The sequence below is a fragment of the Homo sapiens genome, chromosome 5 (assembly GCF_000001405.40).
Source record: "Homo sapiens chromosome 5, GRCh38.p14 Primary Assembly".
Taxonomy (NCBI): Eukaryota; Metazoa; Chordata; class Mammalia; order Primates; family Hominidae; genus Homo; species Homo sapiens.
This window is the reverse complement of record NC_000005.10, coordinates 57219840-57234204: the sequence shown is the minus strand read 5'-3', so window position 1 is coordinate 57234204 and position 14365 is coordinate 57219840. Positions and strand designations below refer to the sequence as shown.

The following is a 14365-nucleotide window of genomic DNA, read 5'->3' as shown; positions in this document are numbered from 1 at the left end:
AATAAAATCAATTTTAATATAAACATTTTAATCACCTAAAAAATGATTACTAACATTGTACTGAGATTATTGTAAAGCAAATATACATGCATACCACCATGATTCCTTCAGAGATACAAACTAAACAGAATTAAGATTTTGGCGGTGGTTACATGTGCATAGCATCTTTAAAGTATACTATTAGAAATTATACTCTGCCAAGTCTAGGATTATAATAGCCAATGACAACCACATCTTGAGAATGGGGGTGGGATATGAAAATAACAACAGCAATTAGTTTTTATTGAGTGCTTACTATGTGTCACACACAGTTTTAAGTAATTTAATTGTATTACTAATTTAACCCTCACAACACTATGAGAGTACTATTACCATTCCCAGAGTTTGTTTATACAGTTGAACCTTGAACAACACAAGTTTGAACTATGCAAATCCACTTACATCTAGATTTTCTTCCATCTGTGCCACCTGAGACAGCAAGACCAACCCCTTCTCTTCCTCTTCAGTCAACTCAACATCAAGACAAGAATCAAAGACCTTTATGATGACCCACTTCCACTTAATCAATAGTAAATATATTTCCTCTTAAGACTTTAGTAACAGTTTTTCTCTAGCTTACCTGTAAGAATACAGTATACAATACACATACAAAATATGTGTTAACTGTTTATATTATAATCAAGAGTTTGGTCAGCAGTAGGCTACTAGTAGTTAAGTTTTTGGGGGAGCCAAAAGTTATAAGCAAATTGGACTTCAAGGGGGGATCAGTACCACTAACCTCTGTGTTATTCAAGGGTCAACTATACTGTAAAATTTTAATGTTATGATTATTAAGTGGAAAAAACAGATCACTAACATGAGAATACAGAGTAATTACAAAGTTACTTGATAACAGGACCTAAGAGTAATCTTTTATTTTTCTATTTCCCTCACCACTCCTCGCCCTAAACCCAATCTATCAAATTTTTCCTCTTACTGAAACCTTCCATCCAAAATACTTCCAAATCATATCCAAAAACTATTTATTTTCATTTATCTCAACTACCCAGTTCAAGCCATCATTTTCTCCTGAAGTATTCTCTTTTGCTATAATCCGTTCAAGACCTAAGAACTGTAAAAACTAACAATGCATCACGTGACTCCTCTCTAAACCAGCTTCTCATTCACCTTGTAATTAAACCAAAATTCTGTACTTTGATGACCTGCAAAAATTCCATTCAATTTAAATCCTTTCCTCTCTCTCTAACCTTGTCTAATACTAAACTACTCTTTACTCATACTAGCCTTTTATCCCTTAAACATAACAAGGTTGGCTGGGTATGATGACTCATGCCTATGTTAGAAATGCTTGTTCTTTGGTGCCGTAAATAAATAGCACTTGAACATAAATTTAACTTCCTCGGCAAGGCCATTTTTACTTTCTGCAGAAAGGACACACTCGCCACCAGTTTTGCCATGAGAGTACACCGAACAAAGGAGACAGGGTCATTTATAACTTGACGCATCTACTTTACTGCTGTGTCCAGTTTCTATTGGCTGGAACAGGACTTCACATTCTGTATTTGTCCTGATTGGCTAGCACCTTAGAACTTTTCAAAAAGTTTTTAAACTTTTTAAAAGAGGCAAAGGCAGAGAACAAAGGAAGGAGGAAGTAACTTGTGGAATGCTGATAAAGGTAAAAACACCTCCAAATAAGGAAGAACAGTCTATGACTTAATGCCTGCTTGGATTGGTATAAGCATGCCAAGGCAAATATTTAGGCTTAATTGTAGGAGCTAAGAACATAAAGTACGTTGATTTCTTTATTACAGCTAGCAGATAATTAAGAATGTTAGCATAAGTGTTTGAATAAATACTGCTTCTAAGAAGAGTTACTAATTATTCTTAATTAGACTAGGAAGAAAGTCTCTTTGAAGAACCTCTACTTTACTTTTTACACCTATAATCCCAGCCCTTTGGGAGGCCGAGGTCGGAGGATTGCTTGAGGCCAGAAGTTCAAGACCAACTAGGCCAACATAGTGAGCTAGGTGTAGTGGTGTGCATCTGTAGTCCTAGAGGAGCTACTCAAGAGGCTGAGACAAGAGAGGACTGCCTGAGCCCAGAAGTTTGAAGATGCAGTGAGCTATGAACTCCAGCCTAGGCAAAAGAGTGAGACCCTGTCTCAATTCCACCACCACCCCCCACCCTGATACACACACACAAACATGAAAAAAATAAGATAAACCAAGGATGATCGCATCTTGGCATGAGCTCTCTCTCTCTTCCTTTCAGTCTTAACAAAAGCTCGCTGCTTATCAAGTATGTTCCAAATTAAATGTCACTTCCTGTCTAAATTCACTACAAAATATTACTTGCTTAGAGAACAGAAACTTGGTAAGAGTAAGGGCTTTGCCTATCTCAATCCAGTATGTATTGCGTGTGCCAAGAACACCAGCTGACTCAGAGTCACTCATATATACTGAATAAGAATTGACAATGAATATATAAAAAGAGTGCAAATTCTATCTAGCTTTTAAATTATCAAGAATGAATCGCAAGAACTAGATAAATATGACTGTACACTGGGTCAATTTTTCTGTAATTTAAGAAATACAGTATTTTGGCCGGGTGCAGTAGCTCAGTGTACAGTGGCTCAGTGCGCAGTGGCACAGTGGCTGTAATCCCAGCACTTTGGGAGGCTGAGGTAGGTGGATCACCTGAGGTCAAGAGTTCAAGACCAGCCTGGCCAACCTGGTGAAACCCTGTCTCTACAAAAATATAAAAATTAGGCGGGCCTGGTGGTGGATGCCTGTAATCCCAGATACTGGAGAGGCTGAGGCAGGAGAATCACTTAAAATAGCACTTACAGAAACTTCATTTGTATAAAAGTCATAAAAAACTTACAAAATCCTCAGCTTCAAACTGTTTGCGTTCTCTCTTGTCTTCTTTCCTCCCGGTTTCATTGTCAGGTATGTTGTTTTCATGTAGTCCTTGGCTTTTTCCTGCATGGAAAATACTGCTACGAGAACGGGAACTTCCACCATGGTATCCACCTCGATGATTTATGTTTTCTGTACCATTTCTTCCATGTGTACGCCATCCATTTTTTTCTTTCCTTCCAAAGTTACCTTTATTTGATAATAGCAAAGTAATATAAATTCAAAGAAGAGAAGCTTAAAGATTGAATCACATCAAAACATTCTTTAAAAATCATAAAGAAAATTAGCCATAAACATCATTCCTTAGCAAATTTTACCTCCATTAGGACGCCCAATAGCAGAATCAAAGCCATCTGAAGAGTTGTGTCGTCGACGGTTCACATCATAACGATTCTCTGTCCATGCAAAGTTTTCAGAATGCTTCTCAAAATTCAATGACGACTGAAACAAATTATAAAAATACAGGTATTTATGAAACCTAAATATAACTTTAAAAACTAGTAATACTCCAACTTCACTTATTTCCAAAAATTTTAAATGATTAAGAAAAACATATTGCAGTTATTTTCAAGGTATTTGATAACTGGGTAACTGTATAATGGATTCACCGATGGTCCATTTTCTTCTATCTAATGGAAACAAGCACATGTGCTTAGAGTTCGACATCTTTTTTTCCAAAAAATATAAAGGTAAAATGCCACTGTATGGAAAACAAGTTAAAATACGATGTTTCTCAACAAAATGTTAAGTCTTTATCATACACTACTTGATATAAATTTTCACTACAGCTCAGTTTCCTTCTACATCAGAGAAAAATTGTCAAATGAATCTTCAGTTCTAAGTCCCTTAAATTTATTTCCATATTCCTCTTCCCCAAACCAAGTGTTTTTAAAAAGGTATCAAAATAAAAGAATGTACAATAAGTATTCCAAAAAATTAGAAATACAGAAAAGTTCTAACAATGTATAAAAGTCACTAGCCCCAAATATTAATCTACTAATCTGATAAAACCACAATCAAAACTTCCAACAGTTTTTTTAAAGAATTTAATTTTAGGCCGGGCGCGGTGGCTTACACCTGTAATCCCAGCACTTTCGGAGGCCGAGGCAAGCGGATCACCTGAGATTGGGAGTTCGAGACCAGCTGACCAACATGGAGAAACCCCGTCTCTACTAAAAACACAAAAAAATGAGCCAGGTGTGGTGGCACATGCCTGTAATCCCAGCTACTCGGGAGGCTGAGGCAAGAGAATCGCTTGAACCTGGGAGGCGGGGAGGTTGCAGTGAACCGAGATCACGCCATTGCATGTGAGAAGGGACGGGACGGGACGGGACGGGACGGGACGCGATGCGATGCAACGGGATGGGAAGGGAAGGGAAAATTTTAACAAGTCGTCTCAGTAATCTAAAAAGAAAATGCATGAAAATGATCAATAAATGTTTGAAAAAGGCCAGGCATGGTGGCTCACGCCTGTAATCCCAGCACTTTGGGGTACTGAGGTGGGCAGATCACCTGAGGTCAGGAGTTCGAGACCAGACCAGTCCGGCCAACACAGTGAAACCCCATCTCTACAAAAAATACAAAATTAGCCATGTGTGGTGGCACACGCCTGTAGTTCCAGCTACTCGGGAGGCTGAGACAGGAGAATTGCCTGAACCTGGGAGGCAGGTTGCAGTTGCAGTGAGCCGAGATGACACAACTGTACTCCAGAGCCTGGACGAGACAGAGTAAGACTCCATCAAAAAAAGAAAAGGAAAGGGAAAGGGAAAGAGAAAGAAAAAGGAAAAAGGAAAAGGAAAGGAAAGGAAAATAGAGCTCTATAAATCAATACAAATAAGGACAACCTAATGGGGAAAACATGAGCAAAAAGCCAGTTCTCAAAAATTAAAGAGCCACAAATCACATGAAAACATAGCCAGGTTCTCTTGTAATCAAAATGCAAGATTAGAACAAAGCTGGCACCTCTTGCCCATTGGCCAATATATAATGACAGTAAGGGTTGAGAAGACAGACAACTCCTTTTTTTTTTTTTTTTTTTTTTTTTTTTTTTTTTTTTGAGATGGAGTCTTGTTCTGTCGCCCAGGCTGGGGTGCAGTGGCACGATCTTGGCTCACTGCAACCTTCACCTCCTGGGTTCCAGCGATTCTCCTGCCTCAGCCTCGTGAGCAGCTGGGATTACAGGCACCCACCACCACAACCGGTTAATTTTTATATTTTTAGTAGAAACGGGGTTTGATCATTATTGGCCAGGCTGGTCTTCAACTCCTGACTTCAAGTGATCCACCTGCCTTGGCCTCCCAAAGTGCTGGGATTATAGGAGTGAGCCACTGCACTCAGCCCAGACAATTATTCATTACTGGGTTAGAAAACATACACATACATATATGCTTGCTTACTTCTCTCAGTAGGGAGGGAAATGCACATGTATATCTATACTTATATTTGTCATCTTTTAAGTCTTTATGGTTAGTTTTTTTTTTTCAGTCTTGCATGTATTTCAATAGATTTATCCTAGCACCTTATAGCATTTTAAAAATTTTTTTGTATTATGCCCCAGAACTGAGCAGATGCCATTTATACTGCAAATATTTTTCTACAGCTTATTTTTTTTAATTTCCTTAAAAAAATTTCCCCCGCTGAAATCTGAGTAAAATAAAGAATGGAGGGGATCTTTTTCCCCCTTAGAGACAGATCTATATGCCCAAGCCAGACTTGAACTCCTGGCCTCAAGTGATGCTCCTGCCTCAGCCTCCTGAGCAGCCGGGACTACAGGCATGCACCACTGCACCCAGCTTTGAGATACAGATATAGATGCAGACTTTTTTTTTTTTTGAGACAGAGTCTCGCTCTGTCACCCAGGCTGGAGTGCAATGGTGCAATCTCAGCTCACTGCAACCTCCGTCTCCCAGGTTCAAATGATTCTCCTGCCTCAGCCTCCCAAGTAGCTGGGACTACAGGTGGCCACCACCACACCTGGCTAATTTTTGTACTTTCAGTAGAGATGGGGTTTCACCATATTGGCCAGGCTGGTCTCGAACTCCTGACCTTGTGATCTGCCCGCCTTGGGCTCTCAAAGTGCTGAGATTACACGTGTAAGCCACCACGCCCAGCTAGCTTTGATATTCTAAAAAGACTATATAGGTGGTTTTAATGAAGTATTTAAACATATAAAGAAGTAATTAAACAGGGTACTTGTTACTATTTTAAATATTTTTTAAAGCCTTAAGTCTTTGTTGCACTTACAATTCTATCTTGTATTAGTCTTTTATCTAGCAACTTTATTTCTAGTAACCTTAATTCATACTTTGTAGCATGTCTGTTGGGATTTTTTTATACGGACAGTTACTGTTCATAAATAATACCAGTTTTCTATCTTGCCCTTTAGTCCTGTTACCTGTTATTTCTTACTCATATTTTACTATGCTGGCTATATGTCAGAGTCTTTCAAGAGTCTGGGATGTTACCATCTGTGCAAGCTAACAAGCTAGCCTGGATACTGTTTCATGGATGCTGGCAAAAGACATGAGACAAAGACTTTATTACTCATGGTACAGCAAGCAGCATAAGCGTGATGTTGGCACTGGTTCTGTACAGCCCCCTAAGACCTTTGGGGATTGACAGGGAGGGGCCCAGGTGGATGCTGCCCTTGCACTGAGTTTGGCAAATCAACCACATATATAAAGAGCTTGGTCTTTGTCCCTCAATGTTGCTTACTGCAAACAACCAAGAAACGGCCCATGCAAAGTGTAGTCAAGATTTTGCATTCTTGGCATACAAGCAAGAACGTGTAGGGGACTGGGTGCAGTGTCTCATGGCCATAATCCCGGCAATTTGGGAGGCTGAGGCAGGTGGATCACTTGAGGTCAGGAGCTTGAGACTAGCCTGGTCAATACAGTGAAACTCCATCTCTACAAAAATTAGGCCAGGTGTGGTGGCTCATGCCTGTAATCCCAGTACTCTGGGAGGGTGAGGTGGGCAGATCACCTGAGGTCAGGAGTTTGAGACGAGCCTGGCCAAAATGGTGAAACGGCTCACTAAATACACTAAATTCACTAAAAGTACAAAAATTAGCTGGGTATGGTGGTGGGTGCCTGTAATCCCAGCTATTCAGGAGGCTGAGGTAGGAGAACTGCTTGAACCTGGGAGGTGGAGGTTGCGGTCAGCCAAGATTGCACCACTGCACTCCAGCCTGAGCAACAGAGCGAGACTCCACCTCCAAAAGTTAAAAAATAATTTCAAAAGAATACAGGCCGGGCACGGTGGCTCACGCCTGTAATCCTAGCACTTTGGGAGGCCAAGGCAGGAGGATCACGAGGTCAGGAGATCGAGATCATCCTGGCTAACATGGTGAAACCCCGTCTCTACTAAAAATACAAAAAATTAGTCAGGCGCGGTGGCGGGCACCTGCAGTCCCAGCTACTTGGGAGACTGAGGCAGGAGAATGGCATGAACTCAGGAGGCGGAGCTTGCAGTGAGCAGAGATCGCACCACTGCACTCTAGCCTGGGCAATAGAGCGAAATTCTGTCTCAAAAAAAAAAAAAAAAAAAAAAAAAAAAGAATACAAAAATTAGCCAGGCTTGGTGGCGCACACCTGTAATCCCAGTGACTTGAAGTATGAGAACTGCCTGAACCCAGCAGGCGGAGGCTGCAGTGAGCTGAGATCGCGCCACTGCACTCCAGCCTGAGTGACAGAGCAAGACTCAATCTCAAAAAAAAAAAAAAAAAAAAAAAAGCAAAAATGCTCAGAGCCCAGGATGAATTGCCTCTCTCAATGATCTACCCATCAGCCCTATACATTCTTGGCTGAATTTGAATTTTCCCATTATTATTCCACTGTTAGTAACTCATATTAATCTTCCTGACAGAGACTAGAACAAAATTCATTTAACTGGTCTTATACAGCATTTAATTAAGTCTATTATCAACATCTCAAGTGAGGTCAGGACCCAGCCAACTGAATAAACCCTGGAAGGAGGAACGCTGGTGGAGGTTGGGAACCACCAATAAGTAATTTTGCCAGGATATGGTCTAAGGCCATGATTATCCATTACAGTTCATTAACAGGAATTTAAACCGACCTGACTGTTGGTGTCTTTCATTAACAATTACAAGGGCAACAAATGGGCCAAAAGTTACCCCTCATTGTCAATAGAGAGATGTCCTGTATCTCATTCTCTCACATAAAAACCAACCACCCCAAGGGACACAGGTCACTCCAAGATCTGTTGTTAAACTTGATTTGGATTACTGTTAATAGCTTAGTTCAGAAACATGAACACTGTCTCAAAGTAACTGGAGCCTCAGTTGCTACACATGTCGTTAACTTTCAGGTATCTGGATAAGCATATGAATTGTTATTAATCATAACGAAACAAGGTTGTATGGATCTGAGTGTTCAAATGCAGATTTAGGAGCTGCATTGATGGCATCAGGAGTAGCAGGATAGCTGACTGCCCATGTCCACATCAATTTTTCCAAGTTCAAAGCATGTGGACAGAGGTGACAAATCTAGCAGTGTGTCAGTGTCATCTCCTCCAGCTGCTGTTTGACTCAGGCAGTGATGCTGGTTCAACGGTACAGAGAGGGCATTAATTGTTCACCTTTCTGCACCTCCTGGGGTAATGTGTTTCTCAAGTGTTGGAGTTGTCTGCTCTCCCTCCACAGCCATGAAATTGGTTAGTCTTGTGTCTAGCAATCTTAATTCTTACTTTGTAGAATCTGTCGGAGTTTTTTTTAATATGGACAGTTAATTGTTCACAAATAATACCAGTTTGTTTTTTTTTTTTTTTTTTTTGAGAAGGAATCTTGCTGACTCCCAGGGTGCAGTGCAGTGGCACGATCTTGGCTCACTGCAAGCTCCGCCTCCCGGGTTCATGCCATTCTCCTGCCTCAGCCTCCCGAGTAGCTGGGACTACAGGCGCCCGCCACCACGCCTGGCTAATATTTTGTATTTTTAGTAGAGACGGGGTTTCACCATGTTAGCCAGGTTTTAGTAGAGACGGGGTTTCACCATGTTAGCCAGGATGGTCAAGATCTCCTGACCTCATGATCCGCCCGCCTTGGCCTCCCAAAGTGCTGGGATTACAGGCATGAGCTACCGTGCCCGGCGAAATAATACCAGTTTTCTATCTTCCTTTTTAGTCCTATTGTATTTCTTACTCATATTTTACTGTGCTGGCTATATGTCAGTCTTTAAAGTACAAGAGCTGTGACTTCACTTAAGAAAAAAAGAAAATCTCCTACTTGAACCTAGACTTTTCATCTGGGGAGGTAAGATGTGAATGAGATGGGGGCATTTTTATGTAATTTGCAGTGATCCACTGTGTCCCCTACCTTCGTTCTCAATGGATACTGTAGGGGGAGAGTAGGTGAGCAGTTCACTCAAGCAAATGGTCATTGTCTTCATGATCTAGGATGTCAACCCAAGAGAATCTAATAAGTTAGAATTATTTAGATTCCATTTTGGCCAAGCTATCACCCTGTGGTATGGCCTGGACTTTAATTACTCTTAGGGGAAAGCAACATCATGTCCAGGGATGGTCAGGTCATAATCCCGAATTTTAAAACTATAAACTGGGTACAGTGGCTCACGCCTATAATCCCAGTGCTTTGGGAGGCCAGGAGTTCAAGACCAGCCTTGGCAACATAGCAAGACCCCATCTCTACAAAAAAATTAGCTGGGCATGGTGGTGCGCACCTGTAGTCCCAGCTACTTGAAAGGCTGACTAGAGAGGATCATTTGAGGACAGGCACAGTGGCTCACATCTGTAATCCCAGCACTTTGGGAGGCTGAGGCAGGTGGACTGCCTGAGGTCAGGAGTTCGAGACTAGCCTGAACAATATGGTGAAACCCCGTCTCTACTAAAAATACAAAAATTAGCCGGGCATGGTGGCATCTGCCTGTAGTCCCAGCTACTCGGAAGGATGGAAAAGGAGAAATGCTTGAACCTGGGAGGCAAAGGCTGCAGTGAGCTGAGATTGTGCCACTGCACTCCAGCCTGGGCAACAAGAGAAACTTTGTCTCAAAAAAAAAAAAAAAGAGGATCAGGAGTTCCAGGTTGCACCAAGCTATGATCACGCCACTGTACTCCAGCCTGGGCCATAGTCTGAGACCCTGTCTCTAGAAAAAATTTTAATTAAAAATATAATTTAAGGCCGGGCGCGGTGGCTCATGCCTGTAATCCCAGCACTTTGGTAGGCCGAGGCGGGCGGATCATGAGGTCAGGAGATCGAGACCATCCTGGCTAACATGGTGAAACCCCGTCTCTACTAAAAATACAAAATATTAGCCAGGTGTGGTGGCGGGCGCCTATAGTCCCAGCTACTCGGGAGGCTGAGGCAGGAGAATGGCATGAACCCAGGAGGCAGAGCTTGCAGTGAGCCGAGATAGCATCGCTGCACTCCGGCCTGGGGGAAAGAGCGAGACTCCATCTCAAAAATAAAATAAAATAAAATAAACAAATATATATATTTTTTAAAATTATAAATTTTAAAATTATATATATAATTTTAAAATATATATATAACTAAAATGTCTACATTCTCACAATTTCTCATTTCTTTTATACCAATTATACCCAGAAGCGACTATGAAGACATTTCTTTAGTTATGCTGCATTCATTGACCAAACAGCCTTACGGAGGTGTGAGGAGGTAAGGAAGGTGGAGTTTTAACTTGTTTTGAGCTGAATTTTGAGGCGGCTCTTCTAGTACTACTTCACAATACCAGATGTCTGTGGATGGTAGAGAGCATGGAATGTCCATTGATTATATTGAATATTGATCCTGCAAGGTATTCTTGAAAAAGTTTCAACCATGATAAGGTACCACTGATAGCACCAAGAATTGGAGCTAATCTGACAAACTTCTGGAAAGAGTATAAAGAAAACAGTTATAGAGGCCGGGCACGGTGGCTCATACTTGTAATCCCAGCACTTTGGGAGGCTGAGGTAGGAGGACCAAGGGGTCAGGAGATCAAGACCATCCTGGCTAACACAGTGAAACCTGTCTCTACTAAAAATACAAAAATTAGCTGGGCGTGGTGGCACACGCGTGTAGTCCCGGCTACTCAGGAAGCCGAGGCCAGGAGTTCAAGACCAGCCTGGGTAACACAGTGAGACCCTGTCTCTAAGAGGGAAAAAAAATTAAGGACATTTTTTAAAATATCAAACAAGCTGTAGAAAAACATTTGCAATATAAATGGCATCTGCTCAGTTCTGGGGCGCCATATGAAAAAAAAAATTTTAATAAAAAATATAGTCAAACATAACCCAATATGAAAGGAGCTATAAATCACTAAGAAATACACTACATAAGCAATTCTGAGATAAAATTTCTAACACAAAAATATGCTCCATCGTCATTAAGTGATGCAAATCAAAACGAAATACCATCTTTTCATCTAATTTCACAAAAACGTAAAAATGAAAACATCCAGTGTCGCCAAGACTGAAAACCTGCCCCCCTCCCCATAAAACTGTAATGGGATTATAAGTAGATACGAACATTTTGGAGAGCAGTTAGGCATTATCTACCAAAATGTACAAACCTTCTGATTCAGCAATTCTACTGCTAGAAATTTACCTTACCATTATCAAAGAAATGCCCAGGTATTTCTACAGTTTAGTCCATTAATAGGTAATTAATTACATAATCCACATAGATCCACTCAACAAAAGTTTACACAGCCACTAAAAAGAGATGAATTTCCTATGACTGACTATAGAAAGATACTAGAGATGGTATCCTTGAAAAAAAGGGAAAAAACAGTTATTTCATGTTTCTCCAAACTGCAATAAAAATATATTCTGGTGTATGCATAAAAGTAACTTAGCATTTCACTTCTGAAACCTAGTCTACTATCCTAATAATCAAGAAAAAAAACTTATTAAACTGATGAATTTTAAAGTCTGATACATATGGCTTCCTATTCCAGCTCTAGTATGTCTCAGCAAATTAATCTCTCAAGCTGAGTTCCCTCATCTGTAAATGGTGGGGCAGGGGGAGATAAGAGTGTCTACCATCTTAAGATTTTTGTTACCTTAATATAAGTGTTTTATTACAACAAGTAAGGCAGAGACCATCTCCATCCATTCCCTCTTACACTGCCTTTCTTTCTGGACTGTTTTTAAAAATAGTTTTAAGGCCAGGTACAGTGTCTCAAGCCTATAATCCCAGCACTGATTTCAAGACCAGCCTGGGCAACATAGTGAGACCCTGTCTCTACAAACAAACAAAAAAAACAAAACAAAAAAACAAAACTAAAGTTGAAAAAAAAAGTTTCATTTAAAATTTTCTCTAAAGCCCAGAATACCTAAATAAACAATAAACCAAAAAATCTACACAGTAAACCTTCTCCACAGAAGTTTCAATGAAATCTGGCTATGTACCTTCAGAACAGCAAAAATCAAATTAAAAGTTTCAATGAACTCGACTAGCAGTCTGGCTGAATTTTCTGATCCTTTTAGCCTAAAAGTATAAATAGCCTACATTTTCATCGCAAGCTGACACTGCTTACATTGTCAAAGGAAAGTTTTGGTACAGTAATACTAATCTTTTTAACACTGCCATAAAAGAATCAAAAAATGCTACTATTATACACTACAGAGAAAACTACAGATTATTGAATACAAACATGAAAATGTATTCATCATAGTAAAGTTCCACCACATTTTTTGTTTAAAAAGAAAAAAAATCTCCAACTTTCTATTTTATACCATTCATCTACCCTTTTAATACCACAACCCCGAAATCTTTCATCAAACAATTATGAAGATACAGCATCCTGTTTACAGGGATTATTTTGTCATCCTTCCTAGCATAACAAATGGAATTTGCTAGTTATCTAAATTTTTCAATATCTGTTCAATATTCTTTCAGTAATACTTACTTTCAAACTGCTGGTCAGGACCTATTAACAAATGATAAGATCAGTCACAATTGGCATTATTTAATGGAATTTAAAAAAACTAGAAAATCACAAAAGAAAAAACTAGTGCGCCACAGGTATATAAAATTTGTTACATATACATGAAAATGAAAAGACTGTGTAAAATATCCTTCTCACTACAGGTCACAATCAACAGTTTAAAAGTCACTGCCCTAAATAAGAGATTTATACTCAGCCACATGCAGTTTAAATTTTTACCACATGATGGGGCTAAAGTTCTACACATCTCAAAACTACTGCCATACAGTTCTGAAAACATTTTTACCCTTAATTCAAATCTTCATGTCATCTTTTCAAACAAAAAATAAATACTGCCGTTTAAGTAGAGAATGCAATACTAATTAATGTCTGTTCCAATTACTCAGAACAATATTAAAAAGAGAAACGATGTGGGTAAACAAAAGTCTATGGCAGAAAACAAGAGGTTAATTACAAATAGAATTCATAAATGATGATTCTGAGAAAGAATAAGACAGAAAAGGTACAATAAAAGTATCACTAGAAAGTATTGTGTTTGTCAAAACCACTTTGGGCAAAGAAACAAATCTCAAATACTGCTAGTTAAGAGTTCAAATTGGGCGGGGTGCAGTGGCTCGTGCCTGTAATCCTAGCACTATGAGAGGCCGAGTCAGGTTGATCACCTGAGGTCAGGAGTTCAAGACCAGCCTGGACAATATGATGAAACCCCATCTCTACTAAAAATACAAAAATCAGCTGGGTGTGATAGCAGGAACCTGTAATCCCAACTACTCAGGAGGCTGAGGCAGGAGAATCGTTTGAACCTGGGGGGCAGAGGTTACAGTGAGCAGAGATCACACCACTGCATTCCAGCTTGGGCGACAGAGCGAGACTCCATCTCAAAAAAAAAAAAAAAAAGTTTAAATTGTCAACTATTTTCTAAAGCTAATTTTTAATTAGAAGAATTCAGAATTTAGAACTGGTGTTCCAAATTCTAAGAGTAAAATCATCATCATTATGAGGGCCTATATAAATTAATCAAGAGTCAGGTCCAAAAAGCATTGAGAATTTCAACGCACGTTAACAATTATCAGCCAGGCTCAATGGCTCACATCTGTAATCACACTTTGGGAGGCCAAGGCAGAAGCATCTCCTGAGCTCAGTAGTTCAAGACCAGCCTGGGCAAGATAGTGAGACCCTGTCTCTATTTTTTTTTTAATTTTTTAAATTACCAATCTTAACTTCAAGTTAACATTTAAATGAAGACAAGTATTTACAAGCTTTTTTTAATGTTTTGTGTATCTTTCCAGATTTTTTTTTTTTTTTTGAGACAGGGTCTCACTCTTGTTGCCCAGGCTGAAGTGCAATGACACGATCTCAGCTCACTACAACCTCTGCCTCCCAGGTTCAAGCGATTCTCCTGCTCAGCCTCCCGAGTAGCTAGGATTACAGGCACGCGCCACCAAGCCCAGCTAGTTTTGTACTTTTAGTAGAGACAGGGTTTTTCCACGTTGGTCCAGCTGGTCTCGAACTCCCAAC

General features: G+C 39.9%; 1 protein-coding gene across 5 annotated transcripts in view; it reads right to left on the bottom strand.

Moving 5' to 3' along the window:
• The window catches only part of GPBP1 (GC-rich promoter binding protein 1), a 90621-nt gene that overhangs the window by 30475 nt on the left and 45781 nt on the right, over nucleotides 1–14365 (bottom strand). For 3 of the 5 annotated variants that reach the window (NM_001331037.2, NM_022913.4, NM_001203246.2), the window contains 2 exons: nucleotides 3236–3359; nucleotides 2884–3107 (listed from right to left, as the gene is read on the bottom strand). In NM_001331037.2, the coding sequence (NP_001317966.1) occupies nucleotides 2884–3107; nucleotides 3236–3359 (348 nt within the window). Of the gene's footprint in view, nucleotides 1–2883; nucleotides 3108–3235; nucleotides 3360–12808; nucleotides 12830–14365 lie in introns of all 5 variants that reach the window. The other 2 variants (NM_001127235.2, NM_001127236.2) reach the window with 1 other exon arrangement.